Source organism: Homo sapiens, chromosome 6 (assembly GCF_000001405.40).
Source record: "Homo sapiens chromosome 6, GRCh38.p14 Primary Assembly".
NCBI lineage: Eukaryota > Metazoa > Chordata > Mammalia > Primates > Hominidae > Homo > Homo sapiens.
The window spans coordinates 42,427,128-42,451,618 of NC_000006.12; the positions used below are offsets into that span (position 1 = coordinate 42,427,128).

At 45.4% G+C, this 24,491-nt stretch overlaps 1 protein-coding gene across 52 annotated transcripts in view, besides 3 other annotated features; it reads right to left on the minus strand.

The window, feature by feature from the left end:
* TRERF1 (transcriptional regulating factor 1) overlaps positions 1-24,491 on the minus strand; it is a 227,294-nt gene that overhangs the window by 202,197 nt on the left and 606 nt on the right. For 39 of the 52 annotated variants that reach the window (XM_047419067.1, XM_047419061.1, XM_047419048.1 and 36 more), the window contains exon 2: positions 24,050-24,134. The gene's annotated coding sequence lies outside the window, so the exon portion shown is untranslated. Of the gene's footprint in view, positions 1-24,049; positions 24,216-24,391; positions 24,468-24,491 lie in introns of those variants that run through there. The other 13 variants (XM_047419064.1, XM_047419058.1, XM_047419049.1 and 10 more) reach the window with 2 other exon arrangements.
* Positions 2,145-2,234: an enhancer, noted in NCBI's record as "active region_24554". NCBI's record gives its function as "activates an Ori minimal core promoter by ATAC-STARR-seq in GM12878 lymphoblastoid cells {active_cell/tissue: GM12878}" and the evidence as "EXISTENCE:reporter gene assay evidence [ECO:0000049][PMID:35858748]".
* Positions 14,106-14,824: an enhancer, noted in NCBI's record as "OCT4-NANOG-H3K27ac-H3K4me1 hESC enhancer chr6:42408971-42409689 (GRCh37/hg19 assembly coordinates)". NCBI's record gives its function as "activates a minimal SCP1, AML or CMV promoter by ChIP-STARR-seq in primed H9 embryonic stem cells {active_cell/tissue: H9 hESC(primed)}" and the evidence as "EXISTENCE:reporter gene assay evidence [ECO:0000049][PMID:30033119]".
* Positions 14,825-15,542: an enhancer, noted in NCBI's record as "OCT4-NANOG-H3K27ac-H3K4me1 hESC enhancer chr6:42409690-42410407 (GRCh37/hg19 assembly coordinates)". NCBI's record gives its function as "activates a minimal SCP1, AML or CMV promoter by ChIP-STARR-seq in primed H9 embryonic stem cells {active_cell/tissue: H9 hESC(primed)}" and the evidence as "EXISTENCE:reporter gene assay evidence [ECO:0000049][PMID:30033119]".

Below are 24,491 nucleotides of genomic sequence, written 5' to 3' on the forward strand. Positions count from 1 at the left end.
CTGGTCCATGTAGCAAGAACCTATCTCTATAAAAAATACATAAATAAATTTGTTTTTAAAAAAGAACTAAGGCTTATTCACCTAGGGCACATAAATGCTTAGCAAATGAGAAATACGTTCTTTGGTTTATTGTTTGTTAAATTTTGATGGAGACAAGGTCTCACTCTACCACCCAGCTGAAATTCAATGATGCAATCATAGCTCACTGCAGCCTCAAACACCTGGGCTCAAGAAATTCTCCCACTTCAGCCTCCCAAGTAGCTAGGACTATAGGCGTGCACCACTATGCCCAGCTAACTTTTTTGTAGAGACAGGATCTCACTATGTTGCCCAGGCTGGTTTTGAACTCCTGGGCTCAAGGGATCCTCCTGCCTCCATCTTCCAAAGCACTGGGATTACAGGTGTGAGCCACCTTGCCCTGCCTTACTTTTTTTTTTTTTTGAGACGAGGTCTCATTCTGTCACCCAGGCTGGAGTGTGGTATGCCATCTCGGCTCACTGCAGCCTCCACCTGCCAGGCTCAAGCAATCCTCCCACCTCAGCCTCCCGAGTAGCTGGGACTACAGGTGTGTGCCACCACACCTGGCTAATCTTTGTATTTTTTGTAGAGACAAGGTCTTCCTATGTTGCCCAGGCTGGTCTTGAACTCCTAGGCTCAAATGATCCTCCCGCCTCAGCCTCCCAAAATGTTGGAATTACAGGCATGAGCCACCACACCCAGCACATTCTTTTTAATATATATAAAAAAAAAATCAGACTCTTGACACCATCATTAGGAGGTATGTATACCTTGAACAGTTTCTTCCATGAAAGAGATAAGATTACACCAAGTCATATACACCCTAGAGCTAAGGTAAGTATCATGCAGCCACTGCTTGCAGTGGGAAACAGCTGGTAAGAGCTTGGCATGACATCTAGGGCCGGAAATAGGAGTCAAGTCTGGGTAACCAGTCAAGATGCTGTAATAATCCCCAAGTGGGGCTCAAAGTAGGATTTTGGCCTCCTGAGCCTTATATTCTAAGCAACTAAGCTACAGGCCCAGACTGACTAAGGTGAAATCATTTCATTTATTTTCTATGTAACTTCTGGTAGGGACAATGCATCGGAAAACAATTGTAGGCTCAATGATTTTCCCCTTAATTTATCAGTACCATCTGCATTATAATGTAACTGAATATTTTTAGTTCTGCAGACTTGATTATTCAGAGGCTGATCATTCAGCTGTTGGCTTTTTGAAGCTCATTATGGCCCGAGTACCCGAAGACAGGAGAGAGGAAATGAAAGGAGGTGAAACTCAAATCAGTGGGCGTTGCTACTTTATTAGCAGATGAGACACCAAGATTGGGGTGGAGGGGGTGCGAGAGGGTGAAACCCCAGGTCTCCAGAGCTGAGGCTCTCTTCAGGCAGCTTTTATCAGATTCACACATCTTACATCACAGCACACTGACAGTCTGTCAATAATTCTGTGAGACTGGCCTATCCCCATAGTGATCCAAGACTATCACTAAGCTCCCTTCCTTTGTTCATATGGAAAAACCAAAACTCCAAAGGAGATTAACAGTTGAAGCCTTGAGGCCTAGAACCAACCCTTGCCCTGCAGAAGTCAGAGGACAGGTCAGCCCTGACTCCGAAAGGCCTGAGGATGGATTCATTTAGGGAAATGTTTAGAAAAGAATGCTGGGAGGAGTCTAAGCCACTTCCTCATGAAGCCCTGCCTCCCTCTCCCTCCCTTCCACACATTAATTATTCCCAGCAGGCCTTCCCACTTCCCAGGAACCCACAGATAGAGAAGTCCAATACACTGGCTCTGAGCCCTGGGTCACACCCAAGGTCCCCTGGCACTGTCCCTCTCGCAGCAGGCTGAGCTGTGGTTGGAGACTTGACTCCGGTCCCAGGCCCACATGCCCTTCAACCCCATCTGTGCCCAGCAGGCGCTGGGTGAATGTTACTGAACAAATGAATGAAAGCCACTCATTATTTTAAGTGAAAACTAAGTCACACCCAAGGAGGACCACACTCCTAATTTCTCTAGTGACAGTATTCCTCCAGCTGAGCCATGCAAAATGCACCTCACTTCTCTCTCCTTTCCTCTCCAGTCTGCTTCCTTTTTTCTTCCATCCTGAGCACTGGTGTCTGGAGAAACCCCCTGCCCTGGGAAGGTAGCATTCTCTTCTCTGGCTGACAACAGACTTTCCCGTGGATGGACCCTGCGAGGTCTGGGAAGCCCTACTCACCTCAACCCAGTAGGCTCCGGGCCGTCCTAAGTGAACCAACCACAGGAGAAAACCACGGAGGGGGGGAAATGGAAGGAAGCACCCCCTGCTACCGCCTCCTCTCACTTTCTCCGGGGCCTTAGCTCTGTCAGATTTTGAAGCATAATGAGTTTTGTTTCATAACAGTCTTAAATGAACTGGAAGGGGGAAGGGGATGACAATGATAAAAATCTTAATTAAAAAAAATTCCTACAGGCAAAGAGATTATCCAGATCCTGAGATGTGATAAAAGTCTGTTGAGCTGGGGGCCCTCCCGAGCCCCCAAGGACACAGCACTGGACATATATTTACGGAGCGCCTACTGTGTGCTGGGCACTCTTCCGAGGGCTTCGGATGCAGCAGTGAACAAACCCATTCTAGGAGAGGGAGGACTGGCAACAAAGATAATGAACAAGCAAACTACAGAGGACGGGAACAGGCTGAAGTGTTTTGGAAGAAAAGGAACAACAGAGCAAGTAAAGGGGATGGGTCATTCGGGCGAAGGTGTGGCGCACCTAACTGGAGAGGTGAGGAAAGCCCTGTTGAGAAAGAGACAGACTTCTGAGCCAAGACTTGAAAGAGGGCCGGGAGGGAGCAATGCAGATGAGTATCTAGGTTCTGGAAGAGCAACCCCAGCAGAGAGGACGGCTGTGCAAAGGCCCTGAGGCAAGCGCATACCAGATATGGGGCTGGAGAGGAGGAATGAGGAGGAGAGCTGTAGAAAGACAGGGCCTCAGGGGGGCTAAGGACTACTGTATGGACTCTGGCTTGTACTGCTTGGTGGGGGCCGCTGATGGGTTGTAAGCAGGAGAGAGACAGGTTTCCTTGTCATTCTCTGCCACCCCATCCCATCATTCTTCCTGGTAATCTCCCTTGATATCATTTAATAAATATGGCTCAAAGCCCTCTCAGACTTCTGGTGATGAGTTATAAACTCAAACAATCTTAAGAAAACCGGCAAGTCCCACACCTACTGCCCCCCAAAATCAGTATTAGACCATCTTCCCTCACTCCAAAAAGCAAGGAGTTGAATCTTTTTTCTCTTAAGAGCTGCTGACCAAGAGAAGAAATAGAAAATGTTAATTAATAAGCCAGGCGCTATGGCTCATGCCTGTAATCCCAGCACTTTGGGAGGCCAAGACGGGTGGATCACTTGAAGTCAGGAGCTTGAGACCAGCCTGGACAACATGGTGAAACCCCTTTTCTACTAAAAATACAAAAATTAGCCAGTCGTTGGCTGGGCGCGGTGGCTCATGCCTGTAATCCCAGCACTTTGGGAGGCCAAGGTGGGTGGATCACGAGGTCAGGAGATGGAGACCACCATCCTGGCCAACATGGTGAAACCCCGTCTCTACTAAAATACAAAAAATTAGCCAGGCGTGGTGGTGCATGCCTATACTCCCAGCTACTTGGGAGGCTAAGCAGGGGAATCGCTCGAACCCAGGAGGCGGAGGTTGCAGTGAGCCAAGATTGTGCCACTGCACTCCAGCCTGGAGACAGAGCAAGACTCCATCTCAAAAAAAAAAAAAAAAATTAGCCGGGTGTTGTGGCAGGCAACTGAATCCCAGCTACTCGGGAGGCTGAGGCAGGAGAATGGCTTGAACCTGGGAGGTGGAGGTTGCTATGAGCTGAGATTGTGCCACTGCACTCCAGCCTGGGTGACAGAGCAAGACTCAGTCTCAAAAAAAAAAAAAAAGAAAAGAAAAGAGAAGAAAATGTTAATCAATAACTAAAGACAAGGGAAGAGTAATTTCATTCAGCAAATTTTTTCTTGAGAGTGCAAAAGCTAAAAAGCTTGTTTTTAGACTAAAAATGGAAAAAATTTATTCAATAAATAGAAGACATTTTAAAATACAGGCTACTTAACATATATATAACTAGCAATTAATAGAAAGGAGGAAAGCGAGAGATGGAGAAAAAAGGGAAGGTGGGTAGGTAGAAAGATAAGAATGGAAAATAGAATGACAAGTACAGAGAGGAAAATGGAGATATATGTGGAAAAGTACAGAAGGCTCCAAACAGAGAGGCAGAAAGAAAAAGGAACTGAAGTTCCACAGGGTCTGAGGTTTCTTACTCTTCATTCACTCCCTGCAGTTTATTAGGTCCAAAGCACCAGCGCTTAATCCTTTCATTCCCTACTGCCCTGTGGCTGCCCTGATACTCCAATTAGTGGGCCCTCTATTTACACCTCTTTATCCTTACGCTAAGTAGAACTGGAGGAAGGGAGGGAAGAGAGATTAAATTACTCTTCCTCTCAAAACTGGAAAGGCAGTGGCCCAGCCAACACTAGCCGGTCAAGCCAGAGGTGGCAGCAGAAATTCCCTTGTCACTCAATACACACCAGGGACCCCCCAACCCCACAATAGATACAATATAAGCCACTAGGCAACCTTACCTTCTCAAGCTATAAAGTGAGCCGCCATGTCTGAGACCAGGTCCCAAATGCACCTTCTGTCAATGGAAGCTTCTGTCCCAAATTGTCCCCACCTTCATGTCCCTCCCCCTACCCGATGAGAAAGAAAAAAAGGCCCAACTAACAGAAGACTGAGGAAGCCCTGAAATAAGCTAAAATGGTTAGAAAGAAAGTGATAATAAATGAGAACGATGAGCTCATGGTAGTATAGTATAGCAGTTAACAGTACAGGCTCTAGGGTCAGAATGCATGGCTCAGCTCTGCCACTGACAACTGTACCATGGGCAAGTGACCTATTCCCTCATGCCTCAGATTCCTCTTCTCAAAAAAGAGGACCAGTAATAATACCTGTGCCCTAGGGCTCTTGGGAGAATTAAAGTCAGTATTATACAGCATGTAAAAGAATTGTCTGGCACGTGGTGAGCATTATATGAATATTTCTCAAGAAATAAAAATACTTTTTAAAAAGGAAAGCTTCTTTCTGAACCATCCAAGAGAGAAAAGGTCTATAGTTTTATTTTTGTACATGCTATATGCATAAAAACAATCACTACTGATTAGTATTTTCAACTCTGATCATTTCTACTCCACACTTTTAAAATATGAATAAAATGCTTCAGCAAAAATATACAAAGACATTTGTGGCGGTATTATTCATAAAAGCAAACTGTGTGAAATGACCTAAGTATCTGACAATTGAAGAAAATGTGAGTAGATCATAAAAGCCATAACAGGGAGCTTGTGCAAATATTAAAAAATCACATGATGGGCCAGGCACAGTGGCTCACACCTGTAATCCCAGCACTCTGGGAGGTTGAGGTGGGTGGATAACTTGAGGTCAGGAGTTTGAGACCAGCCTGGCCAATATGGTGAAACCCTGTTCCTACTAAAAATACAAAAATTAGCCAGACGTGGTGGCAGGCGCCTTGTAGTCCCAGCTACTCAGGAGGCTGAAGCAGGAGAATCGCTTGAAGCCAGGAGGCAGAGGTTGCAGTGAGCAGAGATCATGCCACTGCACTCCAGCCTGGGAGACAAAGTGAGACTCTGTCTCAAAAAAAAAAAAAAAAAAAGTCACCTAAAGAATTAAAGAATGTTTAAAGACATGGAAAATACTTCTAATGTTAATCATAAAGGATACGAAATTAGACTTCGCTTTCAGGTATTATGGGGCAGTGAATATTAAACTAGTCCTCTGGTACAGAACAGCTACATAAGATAGATAAAATACAAGATAATTATAATAATAACATTTTGAAGGTGTGGAAATACAACAAGGCAGTTGGGACTTGAGGGACCAGGCTCCTAGAGGAAAGGGAGGTGCAGTGAGGTGAGCCATGTATTAGTAGCTACTGTTTTCCCTCAGGACACTTGCTAATCTGGTGCAAGGAACACAGAGGCAAAACAGAAAGCAGTAAATGAAAGCTTTCAGCAGCTTTCTCCCTGGGCCGAGAAGACAAAAACTGGAGTTCAGGGCTATGAACATATCCAAGATTTAAGAGCCCAAGATACCAGAAAAAAAAGTGAACCCCAAAGAAATGAGTCCAATGTTCTGCAAGCGATTTCTCCTCAAGGCACTGACACACACCTAAGTCTTCTGTGCACAGAGCTAAAACCTAGGAATCCAAACAGAAAAAAAAAAAGCTATTAAAACACTAGCACATTAAGCAGAGCTTTGGTAGTTTTACAGTGGCAAGCAGATGAAACTCTGAAATCAGGGCCTACCAAGGCCTTCTTGTACCATTGTACAGGTAAGGGCAAATAAAAAATATACCAGCCTTAACTGAGCCTCTACATTTTCCACGGTAAAATGCCCAGCACTCAAACAACAATCACCAAGCATGTCAGGAAATAGGACCAAACCAACAAAAATACACGATCAATAAAAACAAACCTCAGAAGGTATCCAAATATTGAAGTTGTCAGCCAGAACTTTAAAATTACAAGGGCCAGGCATGGTGGCTCACATTCATAATCCCAGCACTTTGGGAGGCAAAGGCAGGAGGATCACTTGAGGTCAGGAGTTCAAGACCAGCCTGGATAAACAGAGCAAGACCCCATCTCTACAAAAAAAAAATTTTTTTTAATTATCCAAGCATGGTGGAGCACACCTACAGTCCCAGCTACGGGAGGCTGAGTCAGGAGGACCACTTGGGCCCATGAGTTTGAGGCTGCAGTGAGCCAAGTTTGTGCCACTGTACTCCAGCTTAGGCAACAGAGTGAGCAAGACCCTGTCTCTGTTTTTCAAAAAAGAGAGAACTGAATAGATGTGCTTGACAACAAAAAGGAATAGTAAAAGAAATGACTGGTGCTGTGGAAGATGGGTCAGTAGAAAAAAATACATAAAGGCACAGAAAATACAGAAATGAGTTCCAGAGACATGTAGGATACCATGAAAGGGTCTAACATATGTGCAGGAGCCTGAGAAAGGGAGGAGAGGATTAAACAGCAAAAGCAAAATTGGAAGACAATGCTTCAAGAATTTTCTAAAACTGACCAAAAACACAGAGCCATGATTTACAGATGCACTCCAAACTCCACAGGGGATCCATATGAAGAGAACCACACCTATGTACATCATAGTAAAATTGCTAAAAAAAAAAACAAAGCCAAAGAGAAAAAACAGATATGTTACTTTCAGAAGAACCACAATAAAACTGACAGATGACTTTTTAACAGAAATGAAGGAAGCCAGAAGACAATGGAATGACATTTCCAAAGGACTGAAAGAAAATAAAACAAGCCCAAATCTCCCAAATATGAAGGTGAATAAAGATTTTTTTCCAGGGGAAAAAAATCTCCCAAATATGAAGGTGAATAAAACGCATTTTCCGACAAACAAAAACTGGGAGAACTGGAACACCAGCAGACACCCTCCACCACACACACACACACACACACACACACACACACACACACACACCCCTAATAGGAGTTATTCATGTAGAAAGAAATTAAGCTGAGAGAGAAGCATGCTTATATGGAAGGAAATGAAGAACAGCAAAAAGAGTAAGTATGTGGATTAATCTAAATTATTATTGTCTACATAAAACAATGGGCCGGGTGTGGTGGCTCATGCTTGTAATCCCAGCACTTTGGGAGGCCAAGGCGGGCGGATCACCTGAGGTCAGGAGTTCAAGACCAGCCTGGCCAACATGGTGAAACCCCGTCTCAACTAAAACTACAAAAAAGTTAGCTGGGCGTGGTGGTGGGTGCCTGTAATCCCAGCTACTTCAGGAGGCTGAGGCAGGAGAATCGCTTGAACCCAGGAGGCAGAGGTTGCAGTGAGCCGAGATTGTACCATTGCACTCCAGCCTGGGCAGAAACAGCAAAACTCTGTCTCAAAAAAAAAAGAAAGAAAGAAAATCAAACAAACAAACACACACAAAAAAAATGTCTTCTGGGGTTTCATAGAGAGAGAATTAAAATACACAAGACTTCAAAAGGCATAAGGGAGGTAAAAAAGGCCTAAGTGTTTAAGTGGCCTGAATTGTCCAGAAAACGGCTAAAACATTAATTAAGGGTAAGCTCTTTAAAAGTTTTTGTATTTTTTGAGGAGACATGGATGGCATGTATACAGAGCCGAGTGCATCTACTCAAAAAACACAAAAACTTAGCCAGGCATGGTGGTGCACTCCTGTAGTGCCAGCTACTCAGGAGGCTGAGGCAGGAGGATTGCTTGAGCCTAGGAGGTCAAAGCTATAGTGAGCTGTGATCACGCCACTGCACTCCAGCCTGGGTGACAGAGTAATACTCCTTCTTAGGAATTTACCGCCCAAAAAGAATCTAAGATGAACTTAAAGATTTATGTACAAGGATATTTATCAAAGTATTATTTATAATAGTTAAAAAATGATAAATAAGGTAAATTCCTAATAATAGGGACTAGTTAAATAAGTTATGGAGGCCGGGCGCAGTGGCTCACACCTGTAATCCCAGCACTTTGGGAAGCTGAGGCGGGCAGATCACGAGGTCAAGAGATCGAGATCATCCTGGCCAACATAGTGAAACCCCGTCTTTACCAAAAAAAAAAATACAAAAGTTAGCTAGGCGTGGTGGGGGGCACCTGTAATCCCAACTACTCAGGAGGCTGAGGCAGGAGAATCATTTGAACCCAGGAGGCGGAGGTTGCAGTGAGCTGAGATTGCACCACTGCACTCCAGCCCAGGCGACAGTGCGAGACTCCATCTCAAAAATAAATAAATAAATAAATAAGTTATGGGACCCAGTGCCCCGTACACAGTAGGCACTCCATAAATATCTGTTGAACATAGAGTCCATATGAAAGGATAATAAGCGTCTGGGCTCAGTGGCTCACGCCTGTAATTCCAGCACTTTGGGAGGTTGAGGCAGGTGGATCACGAGGTCAGGAGTTCGAGACCATCCTGGCTAACACAGTGAAACCTCGTCTCTACTAAAAATACAAAAAAATTAGCTGGGCGTGGTGGCAGGTGCCTGTAATCCCAGCTACTTGGGAGGCTGAGGCAGGAGAATGGTGTGAACCCAGGAGGCGGAGTTTGTAGTGAGCCAAGATCGCACCACTGCACTCCAGCCTGGGTGACAGAGTGAGACTCCGTCTCAAAAAAAAAAAGGATAATAAGCAACTATTTTTTTAAGTTTCCAAAAAATATTTAATTAGTAAGTATTAAATCACATTCAAAAGAACCCTAATATGATTTTGAAAGCATAATATCATAGCTAATATTTATTAAGAACTTACTATCTGCTAGGCACAGCCCCAGATGTTTTACATGTATTGTCTCATTTCATTTCACCCAGGCCTATTGTTATTTAAAGTGAATGAAGGATCCTGGATTCAAATCCAGGCAGTCTGACTGCAGTGCTTAAATTTTTAATCACTAGACTTTACTGCCTAGAAAAAATACTGGAAGGAAATATATTAAAATGTTAACAGGGAGGAATTAAAGCCCTTTTTTATTTTCTTCCTCATCTGTGTCAGTATTTTCCAAATTCTCTATAATCACTATGAATTATTTGCAATCTCCCTCTACAAAAAAAAAAAAAAATATATATATATATATATATATATATATATATATGAACTACTTTCACTTACCATTTATACAATTTCAGTGAAAAAGTCTTAACACTAACAAAGCTTTCAATTATGTCTGCTCCAGGCCTTAGAGGCAGGAGACTGTGGTGTAAATGTGAGGCAGAACATTCTGACCAGGAAAGGCTGATGAGCCTGATCCAGAGACTGCAGAGCCCATGACTTCCATTCCATAAATACGTCATCATCATCTTGCTTAGCAAGTGTGGATTTTTACACACATTCTGCTAGTTAATCTTCCTAATAACCAAGTAGATGTGACCACCTCAGGAAACGGAGGTTCAGGAAGGTGAAGTGACCCTCCTAGGGACACACAAGGGCACTCCAGCTCTGGTTGGAGGTCCTCCCACTTGCAGCCCAGCCACCAATGATTCCCCCAAATCATGTGGAATAATTTGGGGCAGACCTGAGAGCACATTCAGCCCCAAACACTTCTGGAAGCTAACAACGTGTGTGAACCACGCACCCATCGCGCCCAAAGCCCAGGGATGGCACTGAGATCCCACCCTCACAGAGTTTCACCCCCTCAGAAAATGATTATGCAGAAGAGTAAAGAATATGGCTTCACAGTTCTCAAAGCACTTTTGCATTTTTTTAAATCTCATTTTACTCTCAAAATAAACCTTTTCAGTCAGTAAAACAAAGGTACTGAGAGGACATGGAAAATGAGGCTCCAAGAGTTAGCGCTATCCACGAATAGCCCCAGAGGGTTGGCATGGTGTTCCTTCCACCATATTATCATAGTCATATTTTTGAAGGAAACTCAAGTCATGCTGTCTGGTAAGGCGAAATGGGAGGTAGGATAAGCAAGGGGGAAAAGAACCTGCTTTTACAGTCACCCAGGTCTGAGTTCCGGAGTCTGAATCCCTGCCCTGCAATTTACTAGCCATACGACCTTGAACGAGCTTCTGCATTTCTTTGTGCCTCCATTTCCCCACCTGTATAATAAGGATAAGAATGCCTTCCTCATGCAGTTGTTCTGAGGGTTAAAGGGGGAACAGACCTAAAATGATGGTGTGCATCTGCACTTAGTAGGCAGCTGTTATTTATTTATTTATTTATTTATTATTTATTTTTGAGACAGAGTATTACTCTGTCTCCCAGGTTCGAGTGCAATGGCGTGATCTCAGCTCCCTGCAATCTTCGCCTCCCAGGTTCAAGCGATTCTCCCGCCCCAGCCTCCCGAGCAGCTGGGATTACAGGTGCCCGCCACCATACCTGGCTAATTTTTGTATTTTCAGTAGAGATGGGGTTTCACCATGTTGGCCAGGCTGGTCTCGAACTCCTGACCTCAAGTGATCCACCCACCTTGGCCTCCCAAAGTGCTGGGATTACAAGAGTGAGCCACCGTGAGCGGCTTGCAGCTGTTACTTTTTAAAATGTATCCTGTCCCCCAACATATACAAGGTAAGGTCGCCATGGCCAGAGCACATTGCCTCACCTTCCTAAAGAAAACAATCCCCCTGGCCGGGGGCGGTGGCTCACGCCTGTAATCCCAGCACTTCGGGAGGCCAAGGCAGGTGGACCACCTGAGGTCAGGAGTTCGAGACCAGCCTGGGCAATATGGCAAATCCCCACCGCTACTAAAAATACAAAAATTAGCCAGGTGTGGTGGTATACACCTGTAGTCCCAGCTACTTGGGAGGCTGAGGCAGGAGAATTGCTTGAATCTGGGAGGTGGAGGTTGCAGTCAGCCGAGATCACACCACTGCACTCCAGCCTGGGCAACAGAGTGAGACTCTGTCTCAAAAAAAAAAAAGAAAAAGGAAAAAAGAAAGAAAATAACCCCCTTGTGCTTTTCCAAATTCTGCCATCCTGGTTAAGACTAGATTCATATCAGCTACTTGCCTTTTTAAAACTCTTTCCAAGTTTTTAAATTTAAGCCCCAAAAGTGTCCTCACAGAAGGAGCAGGTACGAGTTGAGAAGGACAGAAGGCTGAGACCCCAGGCTCTGTGTTCTGTGCTTCTGTGCAGATTAGATCAGAGGGTTTAGATATGGGAGGACACAGCATACGGCCTGCCCTGAAGGGAATCACACAGGTGAGCACAGGATGGGAGGGGAGGGGAAGGAGGGCAGCCCACCAACAGAGTGGAGAGTGGAAAGGGAGTGTCGCAGAATACATGGCCAGGAGCCTCAAGGAAGAAAAGGGGACAGACACAGAAGTGAAAGTGCCTCTTAGAGACTGAAAAAGAGCAGGCGAGATGGAGAGAGAAATGGCAGGCCATGCCGTAGAAAGATGGCAATGCTTCTCCTTCAACATCACTGCCACTTGCCCCTGTGTTTCCAACACTTTCCTAAGTAGTCTCCTGGCCTGCAGACTCAACCCCTCCAGACTGGATTCCGTTCCCCAACACATGCTTCCTAACTCCAAAACCTTCAGTGACTCCCCTACTGCCTACAGGGTCAGGACTACGCTCCGTAACGTGACATCGGGTTCTCCCTGCCCAATCCCTGCTCACCTCTCCAGCCTCATCATCTGGCAACTGTCTCTGAGACAGTACGTACCAGGCCCCAGGATGGGTGCTGGGGACACAATAAATAAGACATGGTATACCCTTAAGAAGCTGAAAGTCGGCTGGGCACAGTGGCGGGCACCTGTAATCCCAGCTACTCAGGAGACTGAGGCAGGAGAATCACTTTAACCTGGGAGGCGGAGGTTGCAGTGAGCTGAGATCGCACTGCTGCACTCCAGCCTGGGCGACAGAGCAAGACTCTGTCTCAAAAATAGATCAATAGATAAACAAATAAGACTCCAAAACAAACAAACAAACAAAGGGACTCCGAGGGCACCCTGGCCCATTCCGCCATGTGAGGACCCGGTAAGAAGATGACCATCTAAGACCAAATCTGCCCCTGCCTTGTTCTTGGACCGCCTGGCCTTCTGAACTGTTAGAAATAAAAGTTTGTTATTTGAGCCACTCAGTCTATTACATTTTTGTTATAGTAGCCCAAACAAAGTCAGAGGGATAAGCCTAGCTGCTCCAGACAGTATGTCCTGTGAACTTCTTCAGAAATTCTGCCTTTTTCTGGTGGGCATCACTGTGTGTCGTATTTCCATGTTCACATGACGGTCCTTCACTAGACTCTGAGCTCCTCTTATTTGTCCTGGCATTTCCAGCCATTGGGACAATCCTAATATATGGCAGGCACTCAATAAATGCTTGATGAACAAGTTGTCAGCAAAGCCACCCACCGTGGCCTGGCAGGGATGGGGGCAGGGCACTCATCTCTTCTAACAAGGCTATGAGACCCTTGACCTTCCTTAGAATAACAGCTCACTCCAGGAACTCAGGAAAGATTCTCTTAAACATCCTGAGCACTCTACCCATAGCTGTCAACGGCAGGCCTCATTTGCAGCTCTAGATATTTTGCTGAGGTTCTTAGAGTCTAGAGGTCTGTACATAGCAAGTATACAGTGACTAGGCAATTTCTAAAGGCAGCATAGTCTAAGGATCAGGAGCCAGTCTTTGGAGCGGGTCCTGAGTTTGGATACCAGCTCCGCCACGCAGCACCTGTCCTTAAACAAGTTGCTGAAACCCCCCGAGCCTCAGTTTCCTCAAGTGTGAAGTGGACATCACATCTGCTTCCTACAATTGTAGGAGAATGAAATGACTAAAATATCCACACAAGGCCAGGCACATAGTAAGCTTTCTATAAATAGCAGTTACTACTACTAAAGCGATCTGGAGCCCTAATGCTGATACCCCATGGCCTATGCAAATTCCTGAGCCCCTAAATAGGCTCTTCTTGGTGTGCTCTGGGAGGTAAAAGATATCCAATCTCTGACTCACAATATGTTACCAAAATTCTCCTCAAATTCCCAAGAGAAAATGTATTTTAATTCCCTCTAACTTTAAAAATTAAACAGTTCTTACAGCATTTTGGGGTGGCAGGGGTGAGGAAGGAGCCCACAAAATCCAACAAGCAGCTTTTAAAAGGTTACAAACTGATTGGAGAAAGAAAGAAGGCAGCTGGAGGGGGTGAGAAGCGGGGATGGAGACAATCCCCTGAGTTTCTGCTATTATTGAATACCCCAACTCTCAAAGTAGCCCTGCTGCCCCCTCCTCCACGTGCGCTAAGCTCTGTTAATGAGAAAGCCGAGCTCTGCCTACATTACCACAATAATGATTTCCCGGTTGCATTTTTACATGCCTGCCGCTTTATCACAGCAGAAGTAGACATATATTTTCAATAAATCCCTTCTCTCCTTTCCCCTCCCCAACTCGAGCTCTCCCAGTAAATGCTGTTCCCTCTGCACCCTCCCCCAGTGCAATCCCAACCCTGGAGCACAATGAGTTCCACTAATCAAAACAGAAAGAAAAAGAAAAATGGAAAAATCACAGCTGCTGAAAAACAGCATTTGCTACAAGTCAAAGCCCTCTACATTTTTTCTGCACGCAGCATTTACTTCTTCAAGGACACATCACCCCGCCTCTATCAGAAATCTTACGTAGAGTTGCTCAAAGGGGGGAAGGAGGAGGGGGTGGGTGAAGAAATCTAATATTCAGTCTCTTTCCTATTTTGACTAAGCCAGCACAGACAGAAATATAGATAAGGCCTTGAATAACTGATTTAACAAAATGTCACTTATTAAAAGGAATGGGGGATGGGACAGCATTTGCATTCGAGAGCTCAGTTAAACCACCCCAGCTAAAGGCTGCAAGGCCAAGGCAAGGCAAGGGGGAAGAAAATATTTCTCAGGTCTGGTCTTCTTCAGTGGCTGCAAGGACTGGGCCTGGTAGCAGAGAAGCCTGGATTTCTCCTTCCATTAAGAACCAATGGCGAGAAAACCAGAGGTTTAAAAAAAAAAAAGAAAAGAAAAACCCAGCTGATTCTGAAGTAAGCATTTTTACAGCACTAACTAGTGTCAGGCTCTGTGCTAGAGGCCGGGGGGTACAGAAATGAGTGATGACCCAGTTCTGCCTTCCCCAAGCTCCCAGTCCAGAGGGGTGAAAGACACGTCCCACTGCAAGTATGACAGCAGCAGCCTTATAAACCAAGGGCAGCAGGAGCCCAGGAACAGCCCCTTCCAGCCCACCCACTGCCCTGGCCAGGCCCAGGCACACAGAGCCATCAAGAAAGACTTAAGGAATGAGCGTTTGCGAGGTTTGAATTCCATACTGCCTTCTAAAGAAGCTCAGACTCTTCAAAAGGAAAGAGGCCCCTAAATGTCCTTACTTACTGTGGCTCCCCCTGAAAACCCCTCAGCTCGCATGTATTCACCCAATTAACAAAGAAAAGCGAACTCAAGCCCCAATACTTCAGAATCAGCCTCATTACTGGTGTCCTTCAGTTGAATTTAAGGGAGCTTGGTATCTCCTATTGTAATGACAACAGAGGGAACTCAAACGACACTCCTATTAAAACTCCTTGGGCATCAACTCCAGCTTTTTTTCTTTTCCTTTAAAAAAAAAAAATCTTTCAAAGGAGTTAGATTGGGGGCAGTTTCCCAAAGACCAAGGGAGGCCCTAGGAGCAGCCTCTGTAATGACAAAGACCCCTAGAGGCCCTCAGGAAGGATTCTTTCTGAGGGAGCAAGCTGTCCAGGGCCCTGTTATCTCCAAAGTCAGAGCCCAGGGGCTAGAGGCCACACCATCTAGAAATGACCACTAGACCACCCAGGTCCCTCTGCTGAGGGGCCCCACAGAAGGGACAGAGCTGACAGTAGGACACAGATGGCAAATAGCTGCCCAAATAGCTGCCCAATTTGTTAAAGTCAAGTCTTGGCCTTCATTATAAGGCAGCCTTAAAGCTTTGTGCTCCAGAATAATGGAGGCAAACAATTTAAGTTTTCAAAAATGTCATGCCAAAAACATGCTTAAATCATCTGAGTATTTCCAACTAAGCTCATTGGAGTTGTAAGCCCAAAACACCCAGATGATCTTCCTGGTTTCCACGATCTTTTACATATATTCTGTACCACATTCTTTTATTTAATGCTGTATAGTATTATCTATTTCAGAGTGCACAAAATTTGGAAACCATTCAAATTGTGGCATTAAATCAGGGCTTTGGATGCTGGCTGAACAGGTGACTCTTAGTTGATCATTTATTTATATTTTCCAATTTTACTTCTCGAGCCTCAGTTTCCTCAGCTATAAAATGAGGATATCTACCTTCTCTGGTTGTTGCAGAACACAAATAAGATATGTCAAAGAGGCTTTGGAACTACAAAATGCGAGTTATTTCAGTGATGGCCTCCATTTCCTCTCTCTCTGATTTTTCGTTGATTTCTTCCTTCTCTCTATGAAACCAAATTGCTATCAGTTCCACTGTTTTTCAAAATCAACGACACATATTTATTATACAAATACAGAAGAAGCCCCATTATCCACAGGTGTGGCAAAATCTCAATAATTGCTAAATCTAGGTGATGAGTACAAGAGAGTTCATTATACTAGCCTCTCTGCTTTTGTGTATGTTTAAAGTTTTTTCATAATAAAGATCATTTTTAAATAAATAAATAAAGCTTCACCTTCTTAGGCAGAGGCCAGGAGCCCGATTAGTGAAAAGCACTGGATATCTTTTTAAAATGAGAATTGACTTTCCAGCATACACAGTAAGACTAAGGGCTAATGACTGCTTTTAGGTAGATTCAGCTTCATAGCACAATCCTTATTTGCAAAACAAACACTGAATGCAAATGAAGACGGCTAAGACTGTAGAACCTCAGTCGGGTTTCTTGGGGTAGGTTCAAGGTTCTCCTGCACCCAGTTCACAGGATTCTTTGTGGAGCAAACCAAGTTTATTTGGCCCTTTGGGTGGGCAGGTCCCAGATTCTGAATATGGAATCAGAATTTGAACCTGTATTGACTGGCACTGCCCAGCCAGCATTTCTGAGGCCAGCCTTCCGACAAGAAGAGCAGTTTTGCTAAAGGATCACAGAGAACTTGAAAACCCCAAATAGAAGGCAGCTACACGTAGGGAACAACAGTGGGAGTGGACAAGGGAAATGTTTCGCTGGCTGTCAGATTTTATATCTGAAAAGAAGACCTGGCTGAAGATCAAGTCGCCTCACTGCTGCCTCTGTTCTATGCCTCTTACCGTTGACATCGCACTTTCCATACATGATCTGATTCCCTCTCACAACTTGAAGAGGAGAGGTGAAGATGGTACCAGCCCTCTTTTTACAGATGTAGAGAGGCTCGGAGGTCGACTAGTCCAGAGCCTTGGTGTAGAGCTGGATCTCAATCCAGCTCTGACTCTCTCCTTTTCCACCCACCTCCCATGCAGACCCCATGGCTGGGAACCACCGAGGCTGGTAGTCCATGGGATATTTTTTGTGAAAGACAACCTAAACAACAGGCAGCCTTTGCTTTTTTTTTTTTTTTGCTTTTTTTTCTTTTGAGCTTCTTGCTCAAAACCTATGACAGTACCCACCAACTCTGAACAGGGCTGAAAATCACAGAAGTCTTTTTCTAATCATAGTTTTCAAATAAATTTAATGTGAGGCCCAAATTACTTTAACTGAAGACTCTTTTCTCCAAGCTAAAGAATTCACTCTTTCCTCTGTGCCGCTCAGTAACGCAGTCAAATGTTCAGAAAAATGCAGTACCATTTCTGATGCAGTCTTAACCCTTGAGTCTCTGGCTGGTATCAAGTCCTAAGCCCAAACTCCTTCCCAGGGACAGGGCAGCCTCAGCCTGGGGAGGCAGAGCATCTCGGTCCTCCACAGAGTCCCCTGCCTGCCCACTCCTTAGCATCTGCCCCCTTATCAGTTTTTCTTCCCTGTCATGATGGAGCAAGTTCCTGAAGTATCCCCCACCCCCTTACAAAGGCCAGATCTTCCCCTCAGACCTTCTCAAGGGCTTTTTGCTCAACTGACCCAACTCGTTTCTCTTGATCAGTCACTCCCTCTCCACTGATCTTTCCCATCAGCACACAAATTACCAACACTTCCAAAAAACCTCTTTCCCTTGTGCACATCCTTCCAGCTCCCACTCCGTTTCTCTGCTCCTCGCCTTTCATCATCAAATTTTGCCAAAGAGTTGACTACACGGGCTGTCCGCAGCTCCTCCCTCACGATCCCCTCCCAACTCTCTCCAGTCGTGGTCCCAGCCAACCCTTCACTCCACTGAAACTGTTCTTCACAAGTCACAGACAGATTCCATTTTGCCAAATTCAGGGCCTGGTGCAGTAGGTCACATCTGTAATCCAGCACTTGGGGAGGCCAAGGCAGGTGGATCACCTGAGGTCAGGAGTTTGAGACCAGCCTGGCCAACATGGTGAAACCCCGTCTCTACTAAAAATATAAAAACCAGCCAGGCGTGGTGACACATGCCTGTAGTCCCAGCTACTCGGGAGGCTAAGGCAAGAGAATCACTTGAACATGGGAGGCAGAGGTTGCATGAGCTGAGATCACGCCACTGCACTCCAGCCTGGACAACAGAGCAAGACTCCATCTCAAAAAAAAAAAAAACAAAAAACGATGAAACAAATCCAATGGTGATTTTTCTGGCCTTATCAGCCTCAGGAAACACTACACACACAGACACACACACACACACACACACACACACACACACACAGCACACACCTCCTTCACACTGCCTGTTCTTCTCTCTCCACGGGCTCCTTAGGGCATTCTGTCCACTCTCCTGCATTTAAATGTTCTCTCCATGCCGATGGCTCCCACATTTTTATCTCGTGCTAGGTGGTAGATCAGATTACCCTACTTGACATCTCCACTTTGAGTCTAATAGGCACCTCAAACTTAGTGGTGCCCCAACTAAAATATCTTGATTCTGCCCGCCTCCCTCTCCCAATCTTTCTTCATCTCAGGAAACAGCACCACCATCTACTCAACTGCACAAGCCAGAAACCTCGGAGTTCTAGATGCTTCTCCCCACCCCACAGCAGCCCTGCCCATTCTACTCCTAATGAGCATCTCACACCCACCCACTCCTCTCCATGCACCTCCTTCGCCTCCTCCTCCACCTGCCTCTTTACTGTGCTCTGCCTTTCTCTGCTCTCTTCTCCACCAATGCAATCTTCTTAAAACGTGAATTAGGGGCTGTCGCTTCCCACTCCAAACTTTCTTTTGTTTGTTTGTTTTGTTGTTGTTGTTTTTGAGATGAAGTCTCGCTCTGTCACCCAGGCTGGAGTGCAGTGGCACGATCTCCACTCACTGCAACCTTCACCTCCTGGGCTCAAGTGATTCTCCTGCCTCAGCCTCCCAAGTAGCTGGGATCACAGGCATCCGCCACCACGCAGCCTAATTTTTGTATTTTTAGTAAAGACAGTGTTTCACCATTTTGGCCAGGCTGGTCTGGAACTCCTGACCTCAGGCTATCCACCCGCTTCGGCCTCCCGAAGTGCTAGGATTACAGGTGTGAGCCACCGTGCCCAGTCCCACTCCAAACTTTCAATGGCTTCCCACTACACTTCAAATGAAATGTAAACCTTTTCAAAGCCCAGAGAGTCCTGCACAATCATCTCATGCTGCCCTCCCTCCTTCATCCTTGACCACCTGTGCCTCTTTGAGTTCTCCAAAACCAAAGTCCTTCTGCACAGGCTCTCCTCTGCTTCATGTGCTGTCTCCCCCAACCCCCAAACCTCAGAGAGGCCTTTCCAGGCTACTCTAATGAAATCCATCCAAGTCACTGGACTTGTGGTTTCATCAGAGCACTGATCACAATTGGCAAGCTGTATTTCTTTACATGTCTGCCTCTGGACTGTAAGTGAAGTGGTAAGGGTAGGGGTATGGGTAGAGGGAGATGATTATGTCTCTTTCAATTATCAATATATTTCTGGAGCTTTAACACAGTGCCTGGCAAATAGTAAGTCCTCAATAAGAAGCTGCCGCATGTATGAAAGAAACCAGGGCTGCTTATGGCATTAAAAAAACCCTCGTTCCGCAGCCGGGTGTGGTGCCTCACGCCTGTCATCCCAGCACTTTGGGAGGCCAAGGTGGGCGGATCACTTGAGGCTAGGAGTTCAAGACCAGCCTGGTCAACATGGTGAAACCCTGTCTCTACTAAAATAAAATTAAAAGTAGCTGGGCATGGTGGTGCACGCCTGTAATCCCAGCTACCTGGGAGGCTGGGGCAGGAGGATCACTTGGACCCGAGAGGCAGAGGCTGCAGTGAGCTGAGATTGAGCCACAGCACTCCAGCCTGAGTGAGAGAGCAAGATGCTGTCTCAAAGAAACAAACAAACAAACAAAACCCTCGTTCTTTGAGCTCAGAGTTATCACTGTTATTTAGGCACACGGGTTCTTTGTCCCCTTCCTGCTCTATCAAACATATAAAAAGAAATGTTTATGTTGCTAAACCAAACCCCAACAGCTCAGCATATGCTACCCCATGCCAGCTCATCGTCTTCCATGATGAAAGACCAAGAATCATCTGTTTCTTCAGTAAACCAAATTACTACAAGCAGCTACTCTGAGAACTTAAAATTCTTAGAAAATATCACAGAGGCTTTTTGTTGTGTGTTTTCTTTAGCCCAGAAGAAAAGATTTATTAAGAGAGCCCTGGGGTCAAACTCATGTTACTGAGACTATATTATTCCTTAAAAATGCCCACAGCACCCTTGTGGCAACGCACGCCAGTAACTGGAATCCAGCTGTTCTTGTCCTCCTCTCTCCACAAAAGAAATCAACTATTCGTTAGTTCTCCTTTATTTTACTGGTTTCCCTTCAACATGCAAATTCAGAAATATCATTAATCCACAAGATCCCAGATGATTTTAATCCTTCCTCCTCCCTCAGCCACACAGTTTTATGAGGTCGGAAATAAAATGAGCTGAATTCAACCGCCTTTAGAGCAGGACCATGAGCACCATTTATACCGCCTGGGGTATAAGCCACTTGCCTAGATCCTTACTTTTCTTTTTTGTTGTTGTTGTTTTTGTTTTTTTGAGACAGAGTCTCGCTCTGTCACCCAGGCTGGAGTGCAATGGCATGATCTCGGCTCACTGCAACCTCTGCCTCCCAGGTTCAAGCACTTCTCATGCCTCATCCTCCCAAGTAACTGGGATTACAGACCCCCACCATCATGCCCAGCTAATTTTTGTATTTTTGTAGAGACGGGGTTTCACCATGTTGGCCAGGCTGGTCTTGAACTCCTGACCTCAGGTGATCCGCCTGCCTCGGCCTCCCAAAGTGCTGGGATTACAGGCATGAGCCACCGCGCCCAGCCCTAAATCCTTACTTTTCATGGCAATGTCCAAAGTCAATAAAAACATCAAGAGCTTCTCCCAAAAATGCCCATAGTGAAATACAGAGAATCCTGGTGATAAAAATGATACTATATCATTATTATGAACCTTATCACAAATATTCAGCCAAATCCCAATTACCCACAGAAAGCAGGCAAAGCCACACTGGGCTTTCTGGTCTCCAGTTTCTCCCCAAAGCTATCTCCTCCTGCTGCCTGGGAATAAGAGCTTGGTTAACCTTAGACTTGACCAAGGATTAGACAAGTTAACCAACTGGCTGGAGAAGAAACTTCTAAGATGAACAGAAATTATTTTTGGTACCTAGGATATGTACATGCTGCACTCTCTGTTAGTGCATAGAATTGAGAATTTTTTGTCCAAGACACTGGCAGACATTTATTCATAAGTATTTCCTTGTGTTTGATGGTCAAGATCACCAGGCCACTCAAGAGACCTTTCTGGAATACCAAGGATCAAATCCACTTTCTCCATGAGAAGACAAAAACAGAAGTTAATCAGCTCACCCAAGTCCATGAAGCAATTGGCCGTTGGCTCAGGAAGAGACTGTCAAGACCTCTGGAGACCTCGCTTACAAGACACAGAATTTCAGAGCCGGAAGGGAACTCACGGATCAAACCACGCACTTTTAAGATAAAAAATCCAAAGCCCAGAAATGGCTAGAAATTGGTACCTTCCCCACCTTTCTTTCCAGTGATGTTTCCCCTAGCCTTGAGCATCAAACTACTTTAAGTTCTTTGTCACTTTACCAATACTGTAAACTTAAGCCAACTATTGAACACAAGACAATTTTAACACTTCCTGGCTAATCAGCTTCACAGAGAATCCTTACATTTGTCAAAAAAATAACGCTTTCGGTTATTATAACCAACCCACCCATTAAAGAAGGAGAAAAAGAAAATCATAAACAAGCTTTATTTTTTGTGACCACACATTTTATTATACAAGCAGCAAAGAACACTGCAGTCTGTCTCCTCTTTTACACTTTAAGTTCCTAACTCAACAAAAACCACAGGCCCAAGCCGGTTATAGGAGGCAAAACTGAGTACTTTCCACACAGTTCATAGAACAACTGTTTTCACAGCAAGCTCACATAAATGCTATGTGATAATAACACATGCCTGCTATGTGGAAGCCTGCTTACCAAGCTGTGAAAAGACCCATGTTTACTATGGAACCTGCAAAATTAATCTTCTCATACAGCAGAAGGGAAATGCTCTTTTTGGGATGTCAAGCTGGCTTCTAAACAATCCTTTGGCGAAAATGGACATGCCTAAAAGGGCGGAGCCCAGAGAGGTGTGTCACTCCGGGTATCAATTCCTATAAATCAGATCCTGACAATCACCACAATATTTTAAAAAGAACGAATTATGATTCATGGGCCTTCAAGCCTTTATTACCGCAAGAACATTCTCGGTAGAAGAGGAAAAAAAAAAAAAACTACTGTGACTTGATTAATGGCCAAAGCAAGACAATAAAATAAATCTCATAAATATAAGGAAAAAAACCTGAATGACTGCTCTTGGCTCTGAGGCTAGGCATGTAAATAATTCCACCCTGGAATGAACATACATAAAGATTTTGTTTACCCTCCCAGCAAATACAACAACCAGACTCAGATTTTCATCAGGTAAAAATAATAGCTAATTTGCTTAACTAATGCCTAGTTAGGAACATTTGATAAGCAGCAATAATATTTAATTCCCAACTAACTCAACTCTCAAACTGCCAAATATCAACCCTCAATCTGGAAATCTGACGACAGTTAGGAAAGAAAAAAAGCACTCTCCATCAGCAATGTGTAGCGAGTTTTTTAAAACCCATTTTTCTCGACCCTGCTAGAACAGAGCCTGTCTACAGAATTGCAGAAAGCTTAACCAACCTCAGTTAACCCCACTGCCTAGTGGCTACTCCCTAACCCTACTAAACGTCTCCGGGTTGGACCCGAGATGCTAAAATTATCCTAGCAAAGTTAAAACTCCCAGCATCATCAAGGTAGCTGACAGCTAAGACCTACAACTCTTCTGCAGAAACCAGTAGGCTGAGGACCAAGAAAACAGAGGCAAGGAGAGGCAAAGGCTGCTGGTTAACTAGTTAAGCACTGAGGACTCCTGCTGTTATCCTCTCCAGTCAGTGAGCATCAACACCACACTTCCTATCGCCAAACTCCTTTCTTAAAAGGGTCAGTGATGCAGAAGGTGGGTGCTAACTGGGACAACTTAAAACTCCCCTTCTTAAAACTCTCCTCAATGACCTGCTGAAAAGTGCACCTGGACCGGTTTTCAGGAGATATTTTTTAATGAACTCTTTAGCCACTACAGGGGCGGTCATTCCTAAGCACGACTTCCACGCACTCACAAGACAGCCCAGGCCATGCTGAATTGAAGCCATCCCCTTCAGTACTGGCACTTGCCAAAGCTGCGTCTAGTCTGGGGAAGAGTTTCCACAAAGCTGGCTCTAACAGGCCGGTAGAAGACACACGGAGGAACCAGAAAGCGTTTTCTTGTAACCTAAGGATGGCAGGCGCACATGCTCCAGTCCAGTGCTGGCCAGAGGCTGCCTGCCAGGTGCTCTCGGCCTCCGCTGGTGAAGGAGTGGTTTGGTTGGTTTTTAATATCTGTTTCTTAAGACCACCGGCAGTAACTTCCCAGTCTCCCAAACTGAAGTTGGGGAGTGAAGGAACAGGTTTACCCCCTTACACATTTCTCCCATCTGGGTGGCCACACTAACTTCTGGGGAGTACCCAGCCCCCACAGAGCCCGCAGGCGCGTATACATACACATATGTATCATGTCAAAAACCCCAAAAGGCAGAGTCCTGCGGTTTCTTAGCTGGAGAATGAAGCCTTTATAACATCACAACCTCAAATGCAAGCCCACCATCACTACCTTTAAGCCAGGGTTGCCAATTATAGCGCCCACCTCATCCCTCCCCCTTTGCTGGGATGCTGTGCAGCCCGGAGAGGGAAGAAGGGAAGAAGGGAGAAGGCCTGCTTGCATAGTGAAAGTAAAGGGGGGGGAGACTTCTCCTTCTGTCTCCCCACTCTTCCCTCCCCACTTCGCCCCACCCCCGTCTTCTCGAGGAGCATCCCCAAACTAATTTTTTAAAAATGAAACTTAATAAGCTTCTTGCCTACCTTGGCTGTTTCTGCAACAAGTGCATGGGCAATCCGACGAGAAGACCAGTATCCGCTTGGGGGGTGAGATGGGGGGCGAGCAGAGCTGATGGAGTAATTTCAATATTAATTTATGTCAGCCGCCTTCTCTCAGCGCTACTCACTTACTGTACTGCCCTCAGCCTGTAAACAAATATCGCTCCGCCAGGAAACATACTCCCCAGATGCAAGCCCCTCTCCCCAGCAGGGAACCTGGCCCCTCGTCCCCCCGACAAGAGTGTGCTCCCCCACCCAGGGTAGGAAGCTTTGGGTTTCCAAAGCACCAACCCACCACCTCCTCCACCACCCCAGCAAGAAACTTACTCGGTCCGTCTACGCCTCCACCCTCCCTTCAGGAAATCTACTCTCCATATGCATTCAGCCTCCCCGCAGGAAATCTGCTCCCCCCTCCCCCCTTCTATAT